The 24,861-nt window shown below is 54.3% G+C and overlaps 2 protein-coding genes across 5 annotated transcripts in view, besides 9 other annotated features; one reads left to right on the top strand and one right to left on the bottom strand.

The window, feature by feature from the left end:
* Positions 1 to 8,419, top strand: part of GMDS (GDP-mannose 4,6-dehydratase) — a 621,800-nt gene extending 613,381 nt beyond the window's left edge. For all 4 annotated transcript variants that reach the window (NM_001500.4, XM_011514500.2, NM_001253846.2 and 1 more), the window contains 2 exons: positions 7,685 to 7,753; positions 7,994 to 8,419. In NM_001500.4, coding sequence (NP_001491.1) covers positions 7,685 to 7,753; positions 7,994 to 8,056 — 132 coding nt within the window. In that variant the 3' untranslated portion in view covers positions 8,057 to 8,419. The remainder of the gene's footprint in view (positions 1 to 7,684; positions 7,754 to 7,993) is intronic.
* Positions 1,304 to 2,230: an enhancer, noted in NCBI's record as "H3K4me1 hESC enhancer chr6:1630230-1631156 (GRCh37/hg19 assembly coordinates)". NCBI's record gives its function as "activates a minimal SCP1, AML or CMV promoter by ChIP-STARR-seq in naive H9 embryonic stem cells {active_cell/tissue: H9 hESC(naive)}" and the evidence as "EXISTENCE:reporter gene assay evidence [ECO:0000049][PMID:30033119]".
* Positions 2,231 to 3,158: an enhancer, noted in NCBI's record as "H3K4me1 hESC enhancer chr6:1629302-1630229 (GRCh37/hg19 assembly coordinates)". NCBI's record gives its function as "activates a minimal SCP1, AML or CMV promoter by ChIP-STARR-seq in naive H9 embryonic stem cells {active_cell/tissue: H9 hESC(naive)}" and the evidence as "EXISTENCE:reporter gene assay evidence [ECO:0000049][PMID:30033119]".
* Positions 7,628 to 7,737: an enhancer, noted in NCBI's record as "active region_23865". NCBI's record gives its function as "activates an Ori minimal core promoter by ATAC-STARR-seq in GM12878 lymphoblastoid cells {active_cell/tissue: GM12878}" and the evidence as "EXISTENCE:reporter gene assay evidence [ECO:0000049][PMID:35858748]".
* Positions 12,754 to 13,616: an enhancer, noted in NCBI's record as "H3K27ac-H3K4me1 hESC enhancer chr6:1618844-1619706 (GRCh37/hg19 assembly coordinates)". NCBI's record gives its function as "activates a minimal SCP1, AML or CMV promoter by ChIP-STARR-seq in primed H9 embryonic stem cells {active_cell/tissue: H9 hESC(primed)}" and the evidence as "EXISTENCE:reporter gene assay evidence [ECO:0000049][PMID:30033119]".
* Positions 17,364 to 17,980: an enhancer, noted in NCBI's record as "H3K27ac-H3K4me1 hESC enhancer chr6:1614480-1615096 (GRCh37/hg19 assembly coordinates)". NCBI's record gives its function as "activates a minimal SCP1, AML or CMV promoter by ChIP-STARR-seq in naive H9 embryonic stem cells {active_cell/tissue: H9 hESC(naive)}" and the evidence as "EXISTENCE:reporter gene assay evidence [ECO:0000049][PMID:30033119]".
* Positions 17,981 to 18,598: an enhancer, noted in NCBI's record as "NANOG-H3K27ac-H3K4me1 hESC enhancer chr6:1613862-1614479 (GRCh37/hg19 assembly coordinates)". NCBI's record gives its function as "activates a minimal SCP1, AML or CMV promoter by ChIP-STARR-seq in naive H9 embryonic stem cells {active_cell/tissue: H9 hESC(naive)}" and the evidence as "EXISTENCE:reporter gene assay evidence [ECO:0000049][PMID:30033119]".
* FOXC1 (forkhead box C1) lies at positions 18,328 to 22,310 on the bottom strand. Its single transcript, NM_001453.3, has one exon. The coding sequence runs from the start codon at positions 21,777 to 21,779 to the stop codon at positions 20,118 to 20,120; it is 1,662 nt and encodes a 553-aa protein (NP_001444.2). The 5' UTR covers positions 21,780 to 22,310; the 3' UTR covers positions 18,328 to 20,117.
* Positions 21,453 to 21,552: an enhancer, noted in NCBI's record as "active region_23864". NCBI's record gives its function as "activates an Ori minimal core promoter by ATAC-STARR-seq in GM12878 lymphoblastoid cells {active_cell/tissue: GM12878}" and the evidence as "EXISTENCE:reporter gene assay evidence [ECO:0000049][PMID:35858748]".
* Positions 21,883 to 22,502: a silencer, noted in NCBI's record as "silent region_16824". NCBI's record gives its function as "represses an Ori minimal core promoter by ATAC-STARR-seq in GM12878 lymphoblastoid cells {active_cell/tissue: GM12878}" and the evidence as "EXISTENCE:reporter gene assay evidence [ECO:0000049][PMID:35858748]".
* Positions 24,266 to 24,775: an enhancer, noted in NCBI's record as "OCT4-NANOG-H3K4me1 hESC enhancer chr6:1607685-1608194 (GRCh37/hg19 assembly coordinates)". NCBI's record gives its function as "activates a minimal SCP1, AML or CMV promoter by ChIP-STARR-seq in naive H9 embryonic stem cells {active_cell/tissue: H9 hESC(naive)}" and the evidence as "EXISTENCE:reporter gene assay evidence [ECO:0000049][PMID:30033119]".

Genomic DNA, 24,861 nt, shown 5'->3' with positions numbered 1-24,861 from the left:
GTTTACAACACATTCTACAGAGGGTTTTGTCCTATTGAGTGTTGTGACTGCTGGACTAGGAATGGCAGAACCTGACCACTAGATGACTTTGTGACATTCTCAAGTACTTGGCTGAAATACCTCTGCAGATACATTTCGGTATAGGACTTTGTTCCTCTCATGAAGATGTAAAGAAGGAATGCCAGGTGACCATGTAGTATAGACACCTGACAAAACCCTCTGAGCCTTCCTGTGATGATGGGTGGCCAAATGAGTGATAACAGAATTATAGTAAACCTAAAGAGTTGTCATCATGCTCATCTCCTCTCCATACCTCTCCAAAAATTTGCTAACAGATATCACAGTAATTGTCTTAATCTTTTCTCCAATATAAAAGTCCCCAGAGAAATGGCCAAAAAGCAAGAATCTGGATGTGGTCAGGTGTTTGGCTAGGCCTTGAGTTGCTTAAGAAGTGGCTGAGGGAATGAATATTTGGAGGAGCCTGTGGGTATATGTTTGATAGACCCTGTTTGAATGACCCTGTTACGTTATTTATATTTGGATTGGGGAGAAGGAGGAAGGGGAGTGAGGGAGGGAGGGAGGAAGGAAGGATTATTGAAGTGAGGTGTGTTGAATTGGAGGACTTAATATACTGTATACATTGAGAAAAACCACAAAGGAAAAAAACCCCATCTACATTGTACTGTGTAGTACTCATGTCCGAAGCAGTGGTGGTGGGGCGGAGGGGGGGACATTTCTAAGAGGTGGGTAGATTTCCTAACAAACTAGAAGGAAACAAGCTTAAGGAAAATTACCTTCCTCTTATGCAATTCAGGATCCCCTGTGGCCTAGGTAGGCATTCCTAGATGAGAAGGTGCGGGGTAAAGATAAGCCAGATGACAAGTACTTTAGCTTTTACCTCCGAGATACTTTGCTTTGCACAGAACTTTCATCTCTAGGAAAGAGGCCACCTGCAACAGATACAAAATCTCTTAAGTTGCATTTTGGATGTGATTGTTTTGTGGTTTAATTAGCTGATGTCTATAAAGCGCTTTGAGGGTAGAAAGCCCTAAGTGGCAAGAGCACAGCGGCCTTCCTCTTGTATCCAGGGTGCCACTTGCCAGCGATGTCACAAGAGTCCCTAATCGGTCCACTCAAAGGCGCTTTATCTCCTGTCCTCGGGGTTTTGCCACCTCCTTCCAGCATGGGTAAATCTTTACACCCTAGATCCAGTTATTAACAGTAACCAGTAATTTCCGACCAACATGGTGCTGGCTTTGAAGCCTGGAATGCTGAGGTCACTGACAACCTTATCTCCTTTTCATTAAATGGCCCCCGCATCACAACTATGAGTCAGCCACCCCCCATCTCAGCTCGTCAGAGTGGAGATCAGTGAACTAACCGGAACCAAGAGGGCTCTAGTTACAGTCATTAATCTAGCTTTCCCCAGGCTGATGCTACTGTAAGCACCGGATCAAGAAATAAAGCTGACAAAAAATTAACTCCACGATTGCAATTCAGATGTAGAACAGGTACAGACAGACGCAGCACCTTGTAAATAGGTATGATGCAAGATGACATCCCCAAAGTCTTATATGGTTATTTCATTTAAAGAAACCTGTTAGACACCTACCTATGAGTAGGCAGCTCCCCAAAAGCTTCCCAGCGCAGCCTCTGAGAAGTGCTTTCCTCTGCTCAGCTGGCTCAGACTGCTGCCTGGTTGAACGGGGAAGGCCTCAAAGTTGCACAGGGCTGGACAGGGCAGACAGTGGGCATGTTCCTGGGCTGGGCCCCACTCAGGAGGTGGGGAGCATGCTCCTCTGTCCCAGTCAAAGGCCAGGCAGCCAATGGGCAGGCGGACACAGCCAGGGCAACCGCCTGGTCTGGGGAAAGGAACAAGCTTTGGGGTGGCATAAACTGCATAGGCCACATGCGGTTCGTCCCATGGAGGAAAGAGGACCGCCGCACTCATCTCCACACATCTCCAGCATGTCTGCTAGAAAGGGCTTTCTCCAGAATATGTTTTAAAACTTTGTTTAAAAGGAAGTTAACTTGCTTAAATCCTGTATTTCTCCTAAATAATTATGTTGTCTGTGTAGCTTATGAGCCCTTTTTGCTTAACTACAATTCTTGTTTTATGTCAACTATGTCAACCATATTTTTAAAATATAAATGAAAAAAGATCCATTTATATGTAGGTTGCACTATACATGCCATTAAGTTCTCCTTTCCTGAAGTGAACACCTGTAACTTTTTTTACCACCCTAAGCTTTATTGACAAGTAGGCATATAATGAAGACCACGTTCTCATTTACTTTCCACGAAAGCTCTACTGTACTAGCCGGACTTTGTCGCTGGTTTCTGGGGCATGCATACGGATGGATGCATTTCTTTCCATTTGTTTAGTAGTGCTTAACAGCCGCTGATCCCAAATGACAAATTCTACCGAGATCCCATCAGAAAAGTGGGATCGGCGAGAGGGGTGGTCAGAGGATTTTAAAGTGCCCATTAGGCACCATGCAGGAGGACTGGACCGCACGTCCGGAGTCATCTAAGGAGGCTCCCAGCAGAGGTGACAGTGGCGACAGTGGGAGTGTCCAGTGGTGGTTTTATTCCAAGTCTACACCGTCGCTGATTGCCACACGGCAGCCTCCATAAGGGTGGCCACGGACGAGGCCATGGTGCAGGGCCTGCTCCTCCCTCTGCCACTTCCTCTCCACTGCCTGCACCCTCCTCGGGCCAGTGCTGACTGACTCCATTTCCCTGAGGCTGCCTGAGCATTGTTTGAGCTCTGCCTACGGACAGTCCCACCGAGTCCCGCTTCCTGAGCAGACAGGACCGCCTGCTGTTTTCTTCTCCTCTCTTATTGCCCCTTGTCATGAAAGGAGAGGTCTGACTTCCACTTCAGTTTGTGTGGATAGACAGCAGTAAGGGAACAGAGGGGAAATGTTCATTACCGCTGTTAACACCACAGCATTTCTTACTGCTCGGACATTCGCTCCCTCTTTGGGAAGGATTAAACCAAAGGATAAATTCGTGAGCATGTAAGGCTTCAAGCTACACCCAAGAAGAGATGTCGTATATTGCAAATTTTCTGGGGGATCTTTCAGAATTCATTTTTTGTTATTTCCCAGTCTTATTCTCAACTATCTGGAATCTTGACTAGGATACTCTGTGAGACTTGAGAGCTTTTTCCTGAGGCTTTTTGTTGTTGTTTAGCAGCTCTGCCTTTCTGAAAAAGAAACATTGCCCCAAGAGTCAAGCTTTCCTATTCACTCTACACTAGCAGAAAGTTGGATCAAGAACCAAATTCACTGGCATTCTTTTATTCCCTTGGAACCTGAGCTATTCCTCAATTTTGCTTTTCTAAGAAAAGTAGAAGGGAAAAAAAGAATATTAAGCGCCCCTCACAGCTCTGTATCTTAAATTCCTGAAGATATTTCGCCAAGGCTTTCATCAGTCTCGGCTTTCCTTATTAACATCCCTGTCCATACATCTTCTCCTATTTAGGGCATCAAGAGTCAATTTCTTCCAAGATGTACATTAGAAATTTAACAATAATCTGCCAAAAGATCTCATACTCTTAGAATATTTCTCCACCTAAACAGATGTTCTTTGCAAACCTTATAAGCAGACCTGTTGAGGAAATGTGGCATCCAACACCTAGTTTGAACTAAATATTAAAGTTTTCCCAAAGCAAACTCAGTGAAAAGGGGAGAAAATGAAATGAGACTGTGAACCTCAAAAAATCATCCTATGTGATACAGTCTGTTGAATAGCATTCCCCACAATGGTTTTAGAGAAAGTGATATGGAGGTGGGAGGATCCCAGGCAATAAATGTGTTAAAGAAGGATCAAAATAACATCGGGGGAAGGAATGAAAACTAACCAGTGTGATTTTAAAGCTGCGTTGTTATCTAGATGGGAGAGATCTGAGGAAAGGGACCTGTCGTTAGGGTAGAAGATAATGGCACACTATGGTCTCTCCTTTTCTGGAGTTTGCGTTAACTACTGTGGGCTCAGAAACAGGCTTAATGACTTTTCCAGCATTTGGTCTGGCGCTTTATCAGTTCACTTTAACAAGAACGTAAGCCAGGAAAGCCTAAAAAATGGCTGCAGCCAAACATGCCCTCCTCCATGCTGCTGTTTGCAGCTCTGTAAATGTATGCCTGGATGGTACAGCTAAAGGACAACTCCCGAAGGTCAAATGAATACACACAGTCCGTGAGTCAGAAATCTGGAGGGCTGTGTGGACGGAGACATTGCTCCTGCTGTTTTGCTGCTGTGAAATGCTCAGTGAAACCTAATTGAATTTGACAATTATAAATTACATATTGAAACCGTATAGTTCACCTAAGGAATAGCAATGAAAACAGTGAAGACACCAGAAGCCAGAGTTCAGGAAATGTCATATTCACATAGAAATACTTTAAATTTTTCTCAAAGCTTTATTTTCTCTTTTTTCAAGAAAAGCTCCAGACCACCCAGTTGCACTGGTGGAAGTCCTTTTGGGAAGCTGTACATAAAATCATCACTTTAATTCAGCTTTTGCCCCCATTGTCATACTAAGGCTGTAAGCATATGTATAATGAAGGAAACGAACTGTCAAAAAAGAAGAAAAGAGCACAGTAGATAAGCTCATTCTTCTCTCTTGTCCTTAGGAGCTGATTATACCCTATTGGAGGGGATTTGTGGAAGTTCAAAAATCTTTAAGAGGGAGGTAAAGATTAAAGGGACGTGTATCATGGCCCACGCTCCCCTCTCACTCCTCACAGTTCTGTATCTGAGCACAGCAGTTTGGACCCCGTTGTATGAGCATTTGCCACCACCTAATTCCTTCTCAGCCCAGAGGAAGCCTTATTTAAGGAAGGGAATCCACATCCTTGCTCTCCTTCTAGAGCTGTGTGCGCTTTCCCACACAGGCCCTCCCCACGCCACCCTTTAAGTATGTCCTGTGCCTAGAACCTTGCAGGATGAACCATTGACTATATCTTTTCTATAAATGACACAATGGGAAGAAGTAAGAAATTCCTTCAGGAACAGTTAAGTGTAAAACAAGCTGGGATGCTCGTAGTCTTTCCTTAAAAGTTGATTGGAACATAAGCTTACTGCCCAGTCCAGATGTCAGCCTAGGAACAGCTGGCATAGAGAGCCAATGTTTTGTTCTGAGGGGACCTCATCCTTTTTCTTCCCAAGGTCTCTTGGTCTAATTAAATTTCAGGGAGACAGAGCCTTGGCAGAAGGTTAAAGGAAGCAGCTAGACTGCAGTATTGGAGCTAGGCTCAAAACTAAATTGAGAAGTTTAACTGGGTGCGTCTCTGGTTTCAATGAAATACTTTTACAGTGTATGGTAGCAAGGTCTGTTTCTAAGCCTTTGAAAAACATTTTTCTTTTTCCTTAATTGTAGTTCCCTGGTTGTTTTTATATTGTGAGCTACTTGTAGAAAACTACAGGAAACATAATTACAATACAAAGCTCCATTTCCCAAGCCTACCAAGATTATTTGAAGCCAAACTGGGTTTTAGGGTTTTGCTGACTATGAGTTCACAGCCATGAAATGCATCCTATGTCGTGCTGGTTGATTTACAGCCAGTGTGATGTGATTAAACAATAACCATGTTTCTCCACACCGTCTAGCCGCTATAGGATTGAGAGAGGGGAGGGATGGGCTGCATGACTCCACATTGCACAGCTTCCTCTGGGGAAAAAGAATGAGTATCTTTGTGTGACGCTTATAGCAAAATAGAAGCCTGTAGAAATATATACAAGTTTATTTAGGGAGGGGAAAGAAAAATAAATTACTTCGTTTTTCTGCTTATATTGCTATTTCCTTGTAGCGCTATGTTAAATTGCTAATTACTACTTTTTGTATTCTACTTTTCCTGAAGAATCTGTATATGGACTTTTAGGGCCAGCAGAAATAACTTGTTTTAGTACTATTAACACTCTGGGGAGGAAACTGGTACTTCAGTGTATTGCGAAATGCAAAGCGTTTGAAAAAGTAGTGATGGATGATGAGAACGACAGCGAGAGTCGCTGCGTGTACTGCTGCAGCCCCATTGCAAGCCCACGGTGCAGACATTCAGCAGGATCCAGACAGCCTCTGCTCTAGAAGGCTCAGCAGAGAAGGTGAGCTCCAAACCCAGGGCAAAGCAGGTCCCACCCCTGCCCTCTCGACCATCATGAATCTAGAACAAATTCCCCACCTGCCAAGTTTCAGGGAAGTCTGAAGAAAATAAGCAGGAAAGGCTTTCAGTGGCAGCTTGACTGGCTGTTACTTTCACACGATGAAACTCCTTTTAGGCTGTTCTTTAATTTGTATGTAGCTGAAATAGAATGATCGAGTATTTCTCACCTTTAAAGATCGGCTATTTTCGTACGGCCTTTGCGTTCGGTTTATTTCGAGGAATCACATCTGATGTGTTATTTGACGAGTACATTTGTGTATGCAAAAGCTAAATATTTATCTCACTTCTAGCAATTATGTATCTCAAAGTCTTTTTTCTTTCTTCCCTCCTTTCTTTCCTCCCTTTCTCCTTTCCTCCTTTCTTCCTTCTTTCCTATTTTGTAATTCATCTTGAAATTCTCATCTCAACCTTCATGTCAGTCAGTCTTCACAGAGCTGTAAGAAAGACATTGGTGAGTAGGGGCTGAGAGCAGGATTAAGTTCTTCTCCGCTGGTTTTCTTTTAGCCAGCCTTCCTTCCAGGGAAGCCTCTTAAGTCGATGGAGATGAAATGCCCTTGTTTCCTCGAGTGGAGCAGTTGGGGAAAGCGGGAGGAGGAAGGCACTGCCAGAGGGGACGGTGGCGGGCAGTGCGGGGTCCTGCAGAGCTGCTGGCTGCAGCTCCGCTCGTGGAAGTACAAGTGGGTCGAGATCGGCATTTTCTTAGGAACAGAATCGAACCGAGTAGAATAGGGGTAGAATAGAATAGACCGTCTACAGCGTTCCTGGACGCTAAGCCTAAGAATTGCTTCGTGAAACTCCAGTTTCGTTTTATGAACGCGTGTGTGCGGGAGGCGACGTGAACTGACTTGACTGTGGGTACGAAAAGCCCAAAGCCACCGCCCAGGAAGAACCGCGCTTGGCTGCGGCCCGGGAAGAAACATCCACGGCCGCGTTAGAAAGAGGGTCGCACGCTGCCGCCGAGGTAGAGGGGTCCCCGAGTCCTGGGGCCTCGCGCCCCACAGCCCGAGTCCCTTCCCCGCGGGGCTGGTGGCTTTGGGTAGGACGCGCGCTTGGCGCGGCCAGCCCTGCGGCAGGAGCTGAGCGGCGCAGGGACACGGGCAGCTGGGAGGGGCGCCTGGTGATTTACTCACTTCCCTCCTAGCCAGAGAAGTGCAGCAATTCCAAACAGTTCTCATAGGAGCGTCCCTGACAACTTCATGTTATAAAAAAAAAAAAAAAAAAAAAAAAAAAGCATTAAGAGCCCAAGGGACGCCTTGGGGAGAAGAGGTGTGGAGGTAGCTGGGGGTGGATCGCGGTCACGGTCCTCACGGGTCCGCACAGCACATTCTTAACCGCGACCTAGTGATTTACGGCGCCGAGAGCCGCAACTGAACGCGCACAGCAGGGACCGAAAGCAGGGAAACCCGGAGCCTTGTGCGCCCAGAGGGAGCGGAACGGTGGGAGTTCCCGGGGCTCGGGACCTGCTGCCCCCACCCCCACGACCCACGCCTGCTTCGTCTCCCCCTCTTCTTCCCTAGGACTTTCTGCAGGGCGACTGCACCAAAGCGAAACAGAAGCTGAACTGGAAGCCCCGGGTCGCTTTCGATGTGAGTATCTCTTAGGGCGCACGCCGCCCGCTGCGGGGCCCCGGGCTGCAGGGCGGCAGCTCTCAGGGTCGGGCGCCTGAGGCGCCTGCGATGCCCAAAGCCCGGAAGGCGGGGTGCGGGAGAAGTGAGGGGAGCTGGAACGAGGGACGCGGAGGCCTCTCTGGGGCCGACACCCGGGGTGGGGTGTCACCAGGAGAGAGTGGCAGAAGCTCCTCCCTCACGCCCACCCCTGTGTTGCAGGAGCTGGTGAGGGAGATGGTGCACGCCGACGTGGAGCTCATGAGGACAAACCCCAATGCCTGAGCAGCGCCTCGGAGCCCGGCCCGCCCTCCGGCTACAATCCCCGCAGAGTCTCCGGTGCAGACGCGCTGCGGGGATGGGGAGCGGCGTGCCAATCTGCGGGTCCCCTGCGGCCCCTGCTGCCGCTGCGCTGTCCCGGCCGCAAGAGCGGGGCCGCCCCGCCGAGGTTTGTAGCAGCCGGGATGTGACCCTCCAGGGTTTGGGTCGCTTTGCGTTTGTCGAAGCCTCCTCTGAATGGCTTTGTGAAATCAAGATGTTTTAATCACATTCACTTTACTTGAAATTATGTTGTTACACAACAAATTGTGGGGCCTTCAAATTGTTTTTCTCTTTTCATATTAAAAATGGTCTTTCTGTGAACTAGCATTCACAGGGTCAGTGTGGATGTTTTCTCCCAAGTTATGAACACGGCTATAGGGGTCCCCAAACAACCCCACAATCCAGGCCTTGGAATGAGATCGCTGTGGTCAGGCCTTGCCCTGTTTTGAGAAAGCCCTTGGTGGGAGGACTCCTGCAAGGCTAAGGGGGGCGGGGGTGCTCCGGCGAGCCTCCTCCTTAGTCTTTGCCTGGGACATTTCTTTCCCCCTCCTGGTGACAAGTCACTCTGGAAACCTAGTTCCTGCAGAAGGGAGGAATTCACACCCTGGCTGGTCTCTGCTGACTATAATTAGAACCCAAGGGCTCTCACCCATCTGAAAAAGAAGTCTTGAGAAATAGAGGGGGGTCAGAAGAAGAAACTTGAAGGTAAGCAAATACTGTTGGAACATTCCATGGCAAAGCCACCAAGTTACCTAGAGGTCTCTGAGCCTGTGCCTTTCCTTGTGGTCTAGAATCTTTTACACAGTGCTTATTTGCAGCCTCTTCTTATGACTACTAGGTCACTTTTTAAATCTCAGTTTAATGTATTCATTCAGCCATTTATGTTAAGTGCCTAATACATGCCAGACATTGTGCTATGCACTTGAACGACATCAGCGTTAATTTGAAGCTATAATAAAAAGGTTTAAGGCTCAGCCTCAGATCTCTGGATCTGGTTTGTTTGCATGCATCATTTAGGTGGCCTGGGTAAGACCACAGGTGTGTGCTCCTGAGCTGTGTATGGTGTACAGCTACAGGTAGGCTGACGCACACATGTGCAGGACACCCACAGGCAGCAAGCAAGGATTCATGTACAGGTGTATACCTCCACATGAAATACAGTATTTTGCCCTAGAACAAATTAGGTCAGGACACTTCTCCCCCTCACTCCCCTTCCAAGCAAAATAAAATAAAACTTTATAGCAAATGGAATTCCAGCCTTTGCACATGTGTGTGTGAGTGCGGGTAAACTATTTCTGAACGTCTTCACAGGCAGGTTTATGATCTGGGGGAGGACCGAGTCTCCAACGACTGGCGCAGGAGAGAGGGCTCTTTGTGTGGCTGCCCAGTTGCTGTGAAAGCTTGCTGGCCGGGCGGCCTCGCCCTCGATGGAGCAGAACTGGGGGGCCTGAGCTAGCCCACCCGCTCCTCAGAAGCTGTCCCAGGACTCGCCTTCTCTGCACTCCCAGGCGGGATGCTGCTAATTGGAAACACATGGTTGCTGGGAGGCCGGGCCTCAGCCTGGGCGGGATAGTGGGCACACACACAGATACATACTCACACATTGGCTCGAACACAAACATCCATGCACATCCATTCACAAGTGCACATACACTCCACAAACATGCCATCTCACAGTCACACATTCTCACAAACACTTGCAAACCCAACTCCCAAACCCACTGTCACACACATCCTCCAACAAATCTCACAAAGAGTCACATTCCTCTTAGCCTTGACCCTGATGGGCAGGCACCCCCTCTCCTCTGACCACCGGAACCTCCCTTCCCACACCCAGGAGAGACTATTCCAGGGGCCCTCAGGCTTGCCATGGCCCTGTTTAATTCAGTGTTGCTTGTTTGGACACCTAGAATCAGGAGAGATTCTAGGCAGGGGTTTATGCAGCTCCAGTTGAGCCATGATGTTGAATTCTACTTCTCCAAACGGATGGCAGCATCCATGTTTGAAGGAAACTAAAAAGTATTTTTGGTTGCAACCTTCTCACTGCTCCTGCACCCTGAGTAATGGAAGGAGCGGGAGTTCATTTGGCTTCCTGGTGTATGTGGTTTAAAAGGAGAAAAGGAGAATCGATTTACTTCGGCATTTTTTATCTATTTCTGTGCTATGAGAGAAATTCATTTGGACATCCTTCAAGACAATTCTTATTACAGGGTTTCTTCTATCTTAAATCTCAATTAAATTTCAGTAAACTTATTTTTTCCTGCTCTGCCAGACTTTGGCTGTTGGTTTCAAATGTTACAAAACATCTTCCACCTTGATATTTTTAAGGAAAAACTGAGAAAGTTAAACCTTCAGTTAAACTCACATACCATGGCAAAGCAATCTTGCCCGAGTTTGTGCAGGAGGTGCGTGGAACCCGGGTAGGCCAGGCCCCGTCGCGGGCTCTCTCTGCTGCCCTTTGTCTTTAAGGAATTGCGAGCGAGCTAGGCCCAGCATAATAAACCTGTCACACCTCTGCAGCTGTTTAGGGGCTCAGGCTCAGCCGCTGCTGCTGCTGCGCGCAAGATGGCTCCTTCGGAAGGCCGGGTCCGCTTGGCCGCGGGCGCTGGCGAGGAGCGGGTCGGCGCTGGCAAACCCCACAGGCATGGCTTTGGGTTCTTTTTCGCCCCTTTTAGTAGCCTTCGCCTACACCAACCACCGCGAACCTCGTGGAACCTCTGGCAGCCAGTTGGAGGGCTCCTGGCAGATGCAAGGAGTGTTATTATCGCACTAATGTGTTATTAGAGCTTGGAGCAGGCAGCACTTTAAACATTCACTTGAAAATAACCTTAAATGTATTGTTTACAAGTAACTTTTTAACACCCCTCCCCCCAAGTCTCAAAGCACCCTACGCACTTTATTTGGATTTGGGAGTGCCTACTGGGTGAATTCTGTTTTAAGGTGCAGCCCACACACGTCCAGGTGTTTTCTACAACCTGCATCCTTGATTGGTACGCGGGTGGCATGGAGGGGTGGTGGCAGCGCCCATCTAGGTTTTACAAAATGAGTGTCCCTGTGTGTGCGTGGACGTGCCTCACAAAGAGACCTTCACGTCCGTACATGCCACCCGCACCCTCCAAAAATTGTGGATTGCCATCACGGGGGTCGCTAATACTTTTAACAAGCAGCAGGGGCAATGGGGGACAAAACGGCGCTAGGAACTGGTCCACCGTCCACAGTGTGTCCCCTGAGAACACCCGGGGTCTGGGCCTGATCTCCAGGAGTTGGAGGAGGCGCCCCCGCCCCGTGCCAAGCGGGCCCAAGGCCCGAGGCTCCCCCGCTCACAACCCCGGTGCCCGGAACACGTCTTCGAGGGGCCGTGCTGTCGGGGTTATTACTCGCGACTGGACCTCGCGCCGTGTTGCTCTCCTCGGGCCCCGAGCCCGCCCAGCGGTCTGCACGGCCCAGGCCTGAGCTGCGGGCTTCTCCTGTGGGGCGCGCTGGGAGTGAGCTCTATCCCCAAAGCCCATTTCAACGTCCCAGGTATGACTACGACGGCAGAGGCCGGCCGCCCACCCTCGCCCCCTTCCCCGGCCAGAGCGCCTTTGCCGGGAGCCGACGACCGCGGCCTGACCCCGGGCCCCACCGCCTACTCCCGGCTCCCGCCCTTCCTCCACGGTCAGGGGTCACACACAGCGGACGCCCCGTTCTCAGCCGCCCCTCTGATCTCTGAATTTGGGAGCCAGCGTGTCCGCTGGGGCATGCACTGCCACGGGCACTGGGACCCCTTTGCTGCTGCGGGGAGGAGCCCCGACGGCAGGTGGGAAGACCTAGCCTGCCCGCGTCCCCGCTCCCCAGCTCCTGCGACCCGGGCCGAGGCTCTCAGCCCCTGGGCTTCCCCGCTCCGGGTTTGAGGGAGGGGCCGGGCCTTCGGGCCTGCAGACCCGCCACCGCGCGTGCGCATGCGTCGGCCGCGAGCCCCCGGGTGCAGGCCTGGGCGGCTCCGGCCCGCGCACTTGTCCAGGCGCTGCGGCTCAGCGCGCCCCAACCTCCAGCTCGGGCGGAGAGCGGGGGCGGGACTGAAGCACCGTGTTCCTCAAAGTATCCTCTCGCCGTCGGCAGCCCTGGCCTCGCAAATGCTCCAGCGCGCTCAGGCGCACGCAGAGACTGGCGCGGCAGCCTCCGGGCCAACGGCACGCGAGCAAAGCTGGTTGGCGACCTGGGACACGCAGTAGAAGTTGAGGCTGCACCGACTCCCGCCGCTTCGGGGGAGGCATGGGCCCGGGCAGGCCTAGGAGGAAGCTGCACAGCCCGAGGCCCGGGCGGGAGTGGCGGGCCGCGGGCAAGGGAACGTATATTTGGAAGGGGTCAGGACCTCGGCTGGAGTCTGGCTTTTTATGGCGAGGAAGCCGACTGGGAAGGGCCCTCTGGCGAGGCTTTCCTGTTGTGCCACTTTTCCCCGGCAGCGCCGGGCGCGGGGAACGCGGGGCTGCACCGGGGCGGGGGAGGGGGCTTTACCCGGCGGCTCCGAGGACTCGACTCTGGGGTCGGGCCCGGCGGGTAGGCCTGCCCAGGAGCCAGCTGGCAAATGCAGCGGACTGTCACGTTATTCCACTGTCACCACTTACTGTAAATCACTGTCCTAAGCCTCCGGGAGAATCCGTCGAACCTGAGAGGGGGGAGGGGGATGGGGGTGGGCGCGCAGGAAGCCCCACAGGCACCAGGGACTGGTGACCCAGGACATCAGCCCCTCGAGTTCTCTCTGGGAATTTCTAGCACCCAGACTGTCCCTGACTGTAGGGACCACGGTGGGGCGTCTTCCTTCTAAGCTCTCCCCGGGACACCGGGCGCGCCCCCCTCGCCCCTGGGTTAGCGCACACTCCTCCACGCGATGACCAGCACAGCCACTGTGAGGCCCGGCCTTGGCCGCGTTTGTCCTTTGCGAGTGATAATAATAAAAATCATTGGAATTGCAAGGAAGCCCCTGGCCCCGGCTCCCCAGCCGCTGCTGTCCTGGGTGTCCCGGCTGCGGAAAGACCCCGCAGCCGGGCCCGACCCACGAGTGGAACACCGGGCTGCGGACCCAGCCGGGCCTACAGGACTGGCGCGGGGCTCCGGGGACAGGCCTCGCAGGGCCCTCCTGCGCACCGTCTGGGACGCCGATTTTGCCAACTTGGAGGACAATTTTTGTTTTCACTCTACCAGCAGATTTTTAAAAATCCAGTCGCCGCTGAAACGTGCTTCCCACCCGTCCGGTTTGTTTGTAGCCTTTGACGAGCCCCGGCACAGCCTCCGGGACCAATGACCTGCTTTTATACCGAAGGAAATGTGGAGGCCTTAAGAGTTAATGGCGCTAAATGTGTTGGTTTTCCTGCTTTTTCCCCGGGGTAGGTAATGGGAGGGGGGATGTCCCTCTCTCCACGTCTTCCCTCCCCCTCTCTTTCCATCTCCCTCTCCCCCATCTCGGGATCTAAGTCGTCCTCAAAGCTCTCCAAAAAACTCCTTCCTTTCCCAACCTTGAGTACAGGGAACCACATAACCACCCCGCTGGAGCCCCTCCCTGGAGCCTCCTCCGCCTCTCTAGGCCCTGCCTGGGGTCCCACCACTTGGGTCAAGCCAGAGGCCTCACTGCCTGGTCCTGGCTCCCGCTCTGATGCTCACTTGCTGGGCTCACAAATTGCTCTCCCATGCCCACCCAAGTAGCACCAAGCTGTGTTGACTTAGGGGGCCAAGGAGCAGCCCACTGAGTCCCCTCAGTAGGAGCGGCCTGCAGTGGCAGCTGCAGGAGAGGGTGGGCCCGTCAAGTCCTAATGACACCCATGGGGACCAGTGGGCTTGGAGGGGCCCACGGACACGCCAGAGAAAGAAGATGCTCTTTGGAGAAAGGGAGGCATCCTCTGGACCAGGAGGGGGCCCGGGAGAAGCCCCATTGAGGCTTGCCAGGTCACCCTCCCAACCCCAGGCAGGGAGATTCTGAGCTGGGAGCAATTCCAAGCCCTCCCCGAGGACCACACAGACCCAGCCTCTTCTCTCTGGCTGTGTCTCCCTGTGTGAGCTCCAGCCTTCTCCAAGACAGGGCCAGGTCTATGTGCAAGGAAATTCCAGATCCTACTGCATCTCCCGTAATACGCTCAATATGCTGCAAATTTGAAATCAGTGAGGGAAAAAATCAAGTAAACAACCAAAAAAGTAATATAAACCAGAGGGTCTCTTTGGGGCCAGGGTAAGATGGGAAAGGAGCACAACAAAGGTCTTAAATTGAGCCGTACGCTCCCCGCGTCGTACTTTGGTTTCCAATAAGGTAGATATGGTACATTTTGCTCAATTTTCCAGTCGTAATCACGTTGAGAAGGTTCGTGGAGAAGCTGCTTTCATTTTCCTAAATGGGTTTTGGAGCTGGAATTCATTTACTTAAGTATTGTTTCTTTCCCAGCCGACTAGGACCTGGAACCTGCCTGTCCGGCTGCAGTGTGGCCCCAAGTCTGTTGAGGCCTGGGCGCAAGCTCCGCATCAGGGCTGCATCCGGCCCATCCCCCAGATGGTGCAGTGGAGGGCAGGCATGCAGGCCCCTGAGCTGGGCTCGGAGTGGGGACATCCCAGAGAAACTTTGGGGCCCCACAGCCTTCTGTGGGGGCAGGAAGGGAAAAGGATGGGGAAAAGTGACAGAGACGAAGAGACAGACACAAAGACGCACAGAGCCTAATGGTTATGATGCATTCCCACCGAAAAGGGGGAGATGGGATAAAAGAGGGTGGGAAATCAAGGCCTCGGAAGCTTCAGACAAGAAGACAGAGCCCCAGCTGCAAAGGAAGACATTCGGTTAAGGTGGGAGGGAAAGCATCAATAATAAAAGCTCTTTGCAGGGAAACTTTTGGCTTTGTTATAAATGGAAATAGAAGATTTCAGAAAGTGGGCTTTCTGAAGCTGGCATTTAGGGCCCCATGGCAAATCTCAGTGGGTTTCTCTTCCTGCCTAAGTGGACGTTGTCAGAATAAATTAAACTTCCCTGTCGGGAGCTCTCCTGAGCTCCCCCCTCAGATGGGTGGGGGGAAGACTGACACAGTCTCTTGGTCCTACACCCCAATCTCTCTGCTTGGCTGAAGAATGGCTGCCCGCACACAATCATATTCTGTCCTGCCTGGCCAGCTTTATGACTTGGCCACCATCAATCTTGCCCCTAACACGACATTTGTTTATGACGGGTGGGAAGGGCTAATGGCTTCATGAACTGTCCATGAAATGCCTGTAGTGGAGAAGGCCCTGCAATACCAGGCAGGCCCAAGGAGCAGGGGACTCGGAGCTAAGCTCTGAAGCAAATGGCCGGGGTTGGGGGAGGGGGGGGTGGCCTCGCAAATGAGAGCCCCTCTCACAGAGCTCTCAGAGGTGGGGCAGGAGTAGAGGGAAACTGTCACTCCAACTGGCCTTGCTTTGGGTGCCACTAACAGCCTCAGAGAACACTGGTGTGGGTGCCTGAGGCCTGATCAAGTATGGATACCTCTTGTCCCTCCTGGGCAATCTGTCCAGGCAGCCTCCACCTGCAGAGGGTTCAGAGTCTCTTGGGTTTTGCACCATTAAGAACAAAACTAATGACATTCCGCCTTAGAAACGGAGACCCCTGCCCTATGTCCTTTCCTCGCCTATCAAAGTTAGGGAGAGCCCAATAGGACTATAAGGCACTCTTGTTTCCTGACCCTTGTTTCTGACCCGGCAGGAAACAGCCAGGAGCTTACAGGCCACCAGTACAATCGAGCCCTATTCCTTTGCAAGCATCGATTATTAATGACACAAATTTTGTGGAATAATAAATTGTAAAATGCATGCTTGTTTGCACTCAGTCTGGAGAAAAAGGTCTGCTAACTACACAACCCTGGAGAAGTCAGCACCGGTCCCTCCCACACGTGCAACATGCCAAATGCAAGACTGCCTATGGCATGTGGCATGCTGGCATTTGTGTAGTCGTGGCATAAATTGCTATTAAAATAAATGTGCCCATTTCTGCATAAAGGACAAAATACTTACTCTCCTAAAGCTTTTTACAGAGGCTATTTTAAAAATTAGCTGATTCCCCGCCATGGATCTGGACTGCTGTCACAGGCTAATTTCAAAATGTACTGGCTATTAGTTAAACTATCAAGGAGTTTTTCTTAGAATATTTCACAGGAAAATTATCCTTATTCCTAAAACAGTACAAACCAAACGTGCAAACCTCTAAGGAATAAGTAGTGCCACGTTAAATAAGGTTGGCAGAAGTTGGTTTTCTTAAATCGGGTGTGAGAATCGAAAAGGTAATGTACTGATAGTAGGAGACATTACCTAGATGTGGTTTTTAAAATCCGAATAATGAGCAGAACTTCTCTCCTTCCACTCAACATAGCTTCTAAACTTGCACAGGCAACGAGTGCAGAAATGACTACGTCATGTATGTTTAACACAAACACCTTCTTAGACACATGTGTGTTTCATGCCTAATTTTCAAACATTCGAATAGAAGAGGGTAAAGCAAGTTGCTAAGAAGCTTTGCTCGCGCACGCCTATAAACACTCTCGACCTGTGGGCCAGGGGCTCCTCGCTGGCCACGGAAACCGAAGCACCGCGCTTCGCCCCGTACCCGCTTCCTCTCCTGCAGCTGGGACTGGAGCCCCGCAAGGAAGGACAGGGGCTGCTCTCGGCCCACTCCTCGGCAGGCCAGACTCGGCAGGGCCCCCAGCCGGGAGCGGGTCGACTCTTTCCCAGCTCGCTCCCGCCGCTGGGAACGGTGCAGAAAAGCCCGCCGAGCTTTCCACTGCCGACCTGGGCCTAGGCCGGGGCTGACTGCGGCCGCCACCTCCTCCGGGCCGCAAAGCCGAGACCCAAGGAGAGTGGAGAGTCGCAGGCACGTGGGCTCGGAACACGCTGAGCCTGCAGCTCGCCCGAGGGCTTCTGGCATCCTTGAGGCCGAGCGACTCCCCGCACGGCCACTGCCAAGCGACTGGTGGCCTCTGCAAACCTCACACACCGCGCGAGGACGCAGCCCTGCCGGGGAGGCCGCCTGGGGCCGCAGCGCCGGCCCGGGCAGGTCTGGTGCGGCCAGGCCGAGGCGGGTGGGCCGGGGGTGGCCCTGCAAACGCGCAGCTCCGGGTCCCGCGCCTGGAGGCTGCGGGCCGGCGCGGGGCGAGCTGTCACCCGTGAGCAATGAAGTGCCTCTGACCTTTCCACCCCAGCTGCGCTCCTAAACACACGTGCGTCTTCACAACAAAGGAGGCCAGCGAGGAGGAAGTGAGAGCTCGGCGGGGCCCTGCGGCGCCAGGCGGAGACGCGGGGTGACCGGGCGAGGGAGCGGGCTCCTCCGAGCTTCTCGGCCGGAGCCCCGAGGGCGCTTCTCCCGGCTCGGCGCCCCCCGCCCCGTCCCCGTCCCCGGCACCGCGCGCCTGCCACCCTCCCTCAGCGCGCGCTTCCCGGCACCCCGACCCAGCCCGCGAGGAACCCAGCGAAACTAACAGGGGTCTCCCTTTGACTCGCTTTTCTCCAACGACTAATTTCAGGAGGAGGCCGCGGAGGCCGGGGCTAATCTGGGGAGGGGGGTGTGGGGAGGAAGGAGCTCCAAACGCAAACCGAAGCCGGGCCCCGCGCCGCCGCGGGTAATTACAGCTCATTAGCTGGAGAGCGTTGCCGTCGCGAGCGGCGTCCAGGAGGCCGGCGTCGGGGCGGGCGCGACTCGGAAGGGACCGGGCCTGCGAGAAACGCCCCAGCCGGAAAGCCAGGCGTGGGCCGCGCGGGTCTCCACCCGCCACCCCCTACTCCACAGAGTCCGACCGGACACGTCGAGAACGGTACCGTCTCCGGCGGCCGAGCTGCTCCGCCTCGGGCTGGGCCAGCCCGCCCGTGGGGACAGGGCCGTGAGTCACCTGCTGCAGCTCCCCTTCCGGGCCTCGACACCCCAGCTCCGGCCGCGGGCCCTTTGTCCGCAAATCCCAGCTCCTCGCCGGGCTCCCCAAAGTGGAGCGATCACACCAAACTCCTGGAGACTGGCGGTGGAGTCTCTACCGTCACCCCCTCCCCTTCCCCCGCCCCGAAAGAGGCTGTAACCCGAGGAAGCTGGAGGCAGCCCCGGGACCTAGCGCCGCGACAGCCCAGCGAGATTTAAACGGGGCCGTGAGGCCACCCCCAGCCCGCCTGCCCCGAGGAGACACCCGCGCCAGCGCCGCTGCGATCTTCCCGGCGATTAGGTTACGACCCTGGGGGAGGGGACCGAGCGAATCACAGGCCACGTAGAGCAGTTTTTGACTGAAATTAAAGTGTATTTATTTGCAGCAATCCTTTAACAATGATCAAATTTTGACAACAAGCAACAGCAATTACTGCTTAAGTGTTGCCTCTAGATAGGAGCGGCAGATAGCAGGAAACTGTATTATCTCCAAAACAAACTGCAAGCCCCCCACCCCCCCGAACGTCTGTAATCAAATCGCCATCTCCCCAAAGTCTGATTGGCAGGGCAGATCACCCTAAGATAATGAATTTATTACATTTCCTGGGTTATTTACAAAAGGGGGAGGGCCAATCCGGATTGTCCCCTAGGTTTAACTGTAAATTAACAAGAAAAAATGGTTTAAAAAGAAACCACCCTAGACCAAAATGTTCTGCTCCTCTCGCCTTCCTTCTTGTTATTGCTTTAAATCTTTTTCAAAAATAATTGTTCTACAAACATATTTTCTAAAATAGTTTCTCAAAGATTAAATATCCCTTTCCAACCCGCAGTATATTTTTAAAAAAGCAATCCTTCTATGTAATACATGAAGGATTGTAAATGGGGGAGAATTATATACATACATTTAAAAACTGGTTTATTTTTCCTTTTATAAAGGACTGAAATAATAGGAAAATATCTATTCAGCATCTGGCTCACAGGGATGTATAATATGCACTGCAATTTTATATGGAATACACAAGCCAAATATTTATCTGTGCATATCTGGCCGCACAGTCCCATCTCTCGGCACACAGGCATCACCGTGGTAAGACCGCGGCTGATTCATGGGCTTAAAATTTCCGAATCATGGACTGTCATTAGTGAGAAAACGTATTTGTTTATATGCCAACTCCAATCTGTTTAGAAAAATATCTTTTTACTAGCCTCAAAGCAAGCTGACTATATAGTACATTTTGCAGAAGATGCTGCAGGAAAATAAATCTAAACAAAAAGACTTTTAGTAAAATTTGACATGGACTAGTCAGAGGGTTTCTCCATTTTTCAGAGATTTAGGTGGAGAATAGGTAACTTCTAGTGTTTTATCTCTGAAATCTTTTTTCGTAATAATTAAAGCTCTATTAAAGTATCCAGACATATAGGTCTCATTCAAACTGAATGGTAATTTATTAATAAACAAACAATGAATATGTTCAACAAAAAGAAAGAAAAGAGGATAGAATAAGATTAATACAGTTTCCCTTTTTATAATGAGAAAAAAAGCACAATTTAAAGTTTCAGGCAATTTAACGTCAGGTTTTGGGAACACTTTCTGGCGTTTGGTCCACGACATCCAACTACAAATTAAAAATAAATTACTATGTTGCAATTTACATTTTAAAACAAGTCCATGAATAAAAAGAAAGCGACTTTCATAAACGGGGACTTTCCCCCTCCCTTCAACATAGGATAAAATAATATCTTACAGGTGAGAGGCAAGGAAGAAGGCAAGAGAGGGGAGACGGGAGGAGGGGAAAGCAGGTCTCTGAAAAGCAAGAAGAAACTTACGTGTTATCTGGAGTAACACTGTCCTTTAATAAACCAAGATTTTGCTGTCTCTGTATAAAACAGTTTACGGGTTTGTTTATTTAGACAAGGCAAAGTGGAGGTGGCTCTGAATTAATCGGTTAAGAAAATAGAGTTTTCTTCGTGCTGGTGCTGGTGAGCTGAATTTTTGGAGGGATATTCTGTTCGCTGGTGTGGTGAATATTCTCAGGGGTTTTTTTTAATTGGATTTTTTTTTTTTAGTTTCGATTTTGCCTTGATGGGTTCCTTTAGCTTTTCCTGCTTTGGGGTTCGATTTAGTTCGGCTTTGAGGGTGTGTCAAAACTTGCTACAGTCGTAGACGAAAGCTCCGGACGTGCGGTACAGAGACTGGCTGGAAGGGAAGGCCATTTGACAGCTACTATTCCCGTTCACTGGAGAGTTGTTCAAGCCGATCCTCTGTGACTCGAACATCTCCCGCACCGAGTGGAAGTTCTGCTGCTGGCCCGGGTAGCCTGCGGCCGCCGCCGCCGCCGCCGCGCTCGCCAAGTGGCCCAGGTCTCCGCCCGCCTGGTTCAGGTACCACGAGGTGAGGCGGCCTTGGTGGGCCGCAGGGTGGTGGCCGGCCTCCTGGCCTCCCCCGCCGCCGCCGCCGCCGCCGCCGTGACTCAGGGACGACGAGCTGCTGCTGGTGACCGGAGGCAGAGAGTAGTCGGGCAGGGGGTCGTCCACGGCCGAGCCGCCCGCGCCCCCGGGCGCGCCCTGCAAGTGGCCCCCGCGCTCGCCGGCCGCGTACAGGCTCATGGCTTGCAGGTTGCAGTGGTAGGTCCCGGCGCCGCCCGCGCCCCCCGCGGCCCCCGCGCCGCCGCCGCCGCCGCCCGAGCTGCCCGCGCTGGAGGTCTGGCTGCAGGGGGAGCTGTAGAGGGAGCTCTGGCCGGGCGAGTAGGCGCCGAGCGCCAGCGGGGGTGCGATCCCCGCGCGCGAGGACGCGGCCGCCGAGGCCAGAAGGCCGGAGCTGAGCTCCGCGGCCGCGCTCTGCGGCGACCCCCGCAGCGACGTCATGATGTTGTCCACGCTGAAGCCCTGGCTATGGTGCGGCGGCGGGGCGGAGGGCGCGGGCGGCGGCGGCGCGGAATCCGCACCGTCCAGGCTGAGCGGCCGCGCCGACGGCAGGCTGCCCGGGGGGCTGCTCCCGCTGGACAGGCTGCTGCTGCTGCTGTCGGGGCTCTCGATCTTGGGCACCGCGGCGGCGCTGCCGCTGCCCAGGGCGGCGGCCGGGGACAGGGGCTGGGGCGGCGAGGGGCACGTACCGTTCTCGGTCTTGATGTCCTGGATGCGCACGGGCGGCGGCTGCGGACCGGGCGCGTTGCCGTCGGCCTGCTCCGGCGGCGCGGGCGGGGGCTGGCGGCCGGGCGGGGGCGGCTCCTTGAGGTGCAGCCTGTCCTTCTCCTCCTTGTCCTTCACCGCGTCCTTCTTCTTGAAGCGCCGCCGCCGCCGCAGGAAGCTGCCGTTCTCGAACATGTTGTAGGAGTCCGGGTCCAGCGTCCAGTAGCTGCCCTTGCCCGGCTTCTTGTCGTCGCGCGGCACCTTGACGAAGCACTCGTTGAGCGAGAGGTTGTGGCGGATGCTGTTCTGCCAGCCCTGCTTGTTGTCCCGGTAGAAGGGGAAGCGGTCCATGATGAACTGGTAGATGCCGTTCAGGGTGATCTTCTTGTCCGGGGCGTTCTGGATGGCCATGGTGATGAGCGCGATGTAGCTATAGGGCGGCTTCACCATGTCCTTGGGCTGCGGCTGCGGCGTGTAGGGCCCGTAGGCGCGGGCCATGCCGCCCGGGTACTGCTCGGCGTGCGCAGGGTGCGAGTACACGCTCATGGGGGCCGGCATGGCGGTGTAGCCGCCCCCGGCCGCCGCGGCCGCCGCGCGGTAGTAGCTCTGCTCGCCGCCGAGGTAGGGCACCACTCCCAGGGAGTTGGGGCTGGACACGGAGTAGCGCGCCTGCATGGCCCCCGCTCGCCGCCGCCCCGCGCCGCCCGCCGCCCCCCACCCTCGCTCGGGCCGGGCCGCGCCGCGCCGGCCGCCGAGTCCGAGTCCGGGCCCGGCCGAGCTGGTGCCGGCCCGCTGCGCTGTGCGTCCGGCTGCGCTGCCGCCTCTCCCGGCGCTCGCTGGGGCTGGCTCCTCCGGCGCCTCGGGCTACCTCGGGGCCCGCGCGGCCGCGAGGCGGGGTCGCTGCGAGGGGAGAAGGCCGGGCCCGGCCGCGGCAGACCGCCTTGCAGGAACTCGCGGCGCAGCTTCCAGGCGCAAACGGGGGAAAGCAGACAAAAAGAAAGAACAAGCAGGCGCCCTTCTCGCCACACTGCCTGCGCCTTCCAGGAGACTCTGCCCTGAGCTGCCGGCGAAGGCGGCCAAATAACCAGGGCGGGGGGGGGGGGGGCCGCGCGCCGGCCGCCTGCCCGGGCCCCGCGTCACCTTTTCTCGGTCTCTCGCGCGCCAGCCGCTTAAGGAAGCATTGGGAAAACTTCTGAACTTTTGAGCATCCGTCACCCAGGCGAGGACTTTTTTACGCAGTTACACTTTTTTCCGGGCAGCGGAGCCCCGCCCCGCCAGCGGCGGCAGCCAATGGGAGGTGAGAACCGCCTCCGAATGAGCCGGAGGCCGAGCCCTGCCGGCCCGCTCCCGGAGGCCGGAGGACCGCGGGGCTGACCACACGCGCGCCGGCCGCCCTGGCCCGGGCCCCGGCCCTGCGCCCGCGCCGGCGCCCGGCCCGCCGTCGGTTCGCCCCCCGCAGTCCACCTGCCTGCCGCCGGCGCCCGGCAGACCTCCCACCCCGGGCCCTCCGGACCCACGCCCGCCGTTCGCGCAGACTTCCTGGGTCCTCCCGGGACCCCGTGCAGACCCTTCCTTCGCCCACGGCTCCCGAGTGGCCCTGGCGTCTCCGCCCCGCCTCGTGCTGGCTCGCTCTCATTCCTTCGCCAGCCCCGCCGACGCCAGCGCTGGGGTTGCCCCAGCCTCTCCTCCCCGCCGCCTCTCCCCTCCCGCAGCCCCTTCCCTCCCTTCTCCAACGCCAGTCTCACTCGGGTCACTGACGTCTCCGGCTTTTCTCCACTTGGAGGTTCTCCTGTCCTGAACTCGGCTACAAAGGACATGATTTTGAGGGCTCGGTCACAGCCAGGCCCTGCTCGCGGTGGGGAAGAAGGTTCGTCGCCCATCTGGCCCCCCTCCATGACCCCTCCCCAGCCGAAATGAAGGCAAGGGGTGCGGGGCCCTGCTGGGAGTTTCCGACGGCCGTTCACCCGCGAAGGATGAGCCCGCCCCGCTGCGGGCCGCCCTGCTTCTCGCCCCCCTCCCCGGGGGGCCGGCCCTTGGCGGCCTGAGGGTGCGGGCGGCGAGGGCTGCCGGAGCCCGGCTGCTGCCCCGCGCTCCCCTGCCCGCCCGCGAGGGTCCCACCGGCTCGCCGCGCCGCCGCCCCCTCTGATCCCGTCAGGCCCGTTTCGGCTCAGATGAGGGGTCAGGCTGCGGGCTCGGTGACATTAGCAGGTGTGATGACAAGAAGCAAATAAATATGTCTAAGAGCTTAACGCTTCCCCAGGCCAGTCTCCATCTCCACATGCGCGGGGCTGCCGGCTCGCAGAGACAACGGGTGTGTCTGGGGGAACGTCCAGGGTCGCACCTAGAGGGCGGTTCAAGGATTCTGGGGGGACACGCACGGAAGGGCCCCCGCTCGTTGTGCACACGCCTGAGATTCGCCGTCGCTGGGTGGTTGGAATGGGACAGGAAGAAGAGAAATGAGGGAAAGAAACGAAGGAGCGGGAAAGAGCCAGGCCTCCCTCCCCCGGCACGGCGATTCTGCATTTTAGCGACTTGAGGAGAGACCCTCCCGGAGGCTGAATCCCAAGTCGTTCACTAGAAGCTGGGGGAAGTGGCGAGCTCAGGAGACTGCGAAGAAGCGTGCGTGACGCATTTAACAGCTCCGCTGCCCCTGATTTCCGACCATCTATTAAATCCAAGGACATGTTCGGGACCCCTTTTGTCTCCCCGGTTCGAATCCCGGCTTCCTCACGTTGGCAGGAAAATTCAAATTGCAGCTTCGGCTGTTACATGTGAAGGACGCTGACGTGTAGCAGGCGCATCTCCGTGTCACCTGAATATTTAAAAATTACTGTTTCATAATGGACATTGACATCGAAGGAAAGAGGACCTGCCTCTTCTAGAATTAGCCTTTGGAGGAGGGAGGGTTGCCCCGAGGTTGCTCTGAATCCCGGGGCAGCTGCCTCCTGGCCTGCTGTGCGCCGGGGTCTCTGGAGACTCCTTTTCCAGGTGGTTTGCGGGCCAAGTCACTGGTGGGTTGGAGAAGCACCAACAGGAGGCTCAGCACTTGCTGGTTGCCAAGGACACTAGACAGGGGCGAGGGTGGTGGTGAAGCCCCAGGACCTGAACACTTAATTCCTGTTCAGCCCCCAGCCCGGCACCCTGAAGGTCTTATCAGCCCGCCTGGTCGAGGCTTTAAGGAGTGCTGTGGCTTCAGCCTGGAGGAGATTTAAGTGGTCTCCCTGAACACCTCAGCAAGTGGTGAGTTCGGTCTTGAAGCTGCCTTTTACACTGCTAGCGGTGCGCGGAGATGAACGCAGCGATTACGGATGCTTTGTTTTCCGAATGCGGGAAACGCCTTCGGCCCCGAGTTTTGCAACAGGCAATGGTGCCCCGCTGCCCCCTCCCCCACCAGCCTGTCGCCTCCTGCTCTTCCCTGCCTCCTCCCTCCATCGGCCCAGTGAAGTGTAAACAGCTTGTTATGTAAATTGCAAATCGACCTGCAGCGGTGTTCTCAGCTCTCCGTTTTGGGTATAAAAGTCGCCGTTGTGAAATTAGTGTCTGGCGTGCGAGAAAAAATGGAGGGACGTAGTTTTATCAAGATCAACTTTCCACTGGTTTAGCTCTGGATATTCGCCAGGAAAAGATATTTGCATTTGTGTTTTATAAACTTACTCGGAAGCAAGCCTCCAGTAAGCGGCTTGATTGTATTTCAAGCACTTTTCTTATTTCATTTTTGTTGTTAGTGGTGTTATTTGAACATTAAGACGCAGGCATG

The sequence above is a fragment of the Homo sapiens genome, chromosome 6 (assembly GCF_000001405.40).
Source record: "Homo sapiens chromosome 6, GRCh38.p14 Primary Assembly".
NCBI lineage: Eukaryota > Metazoa > Chordata > Mammalia > Primates > Hominidae > Homo > Homo sapiens.
This window is presented reverse-complemented; position numbering and strand designations above follow the sequence as displayed.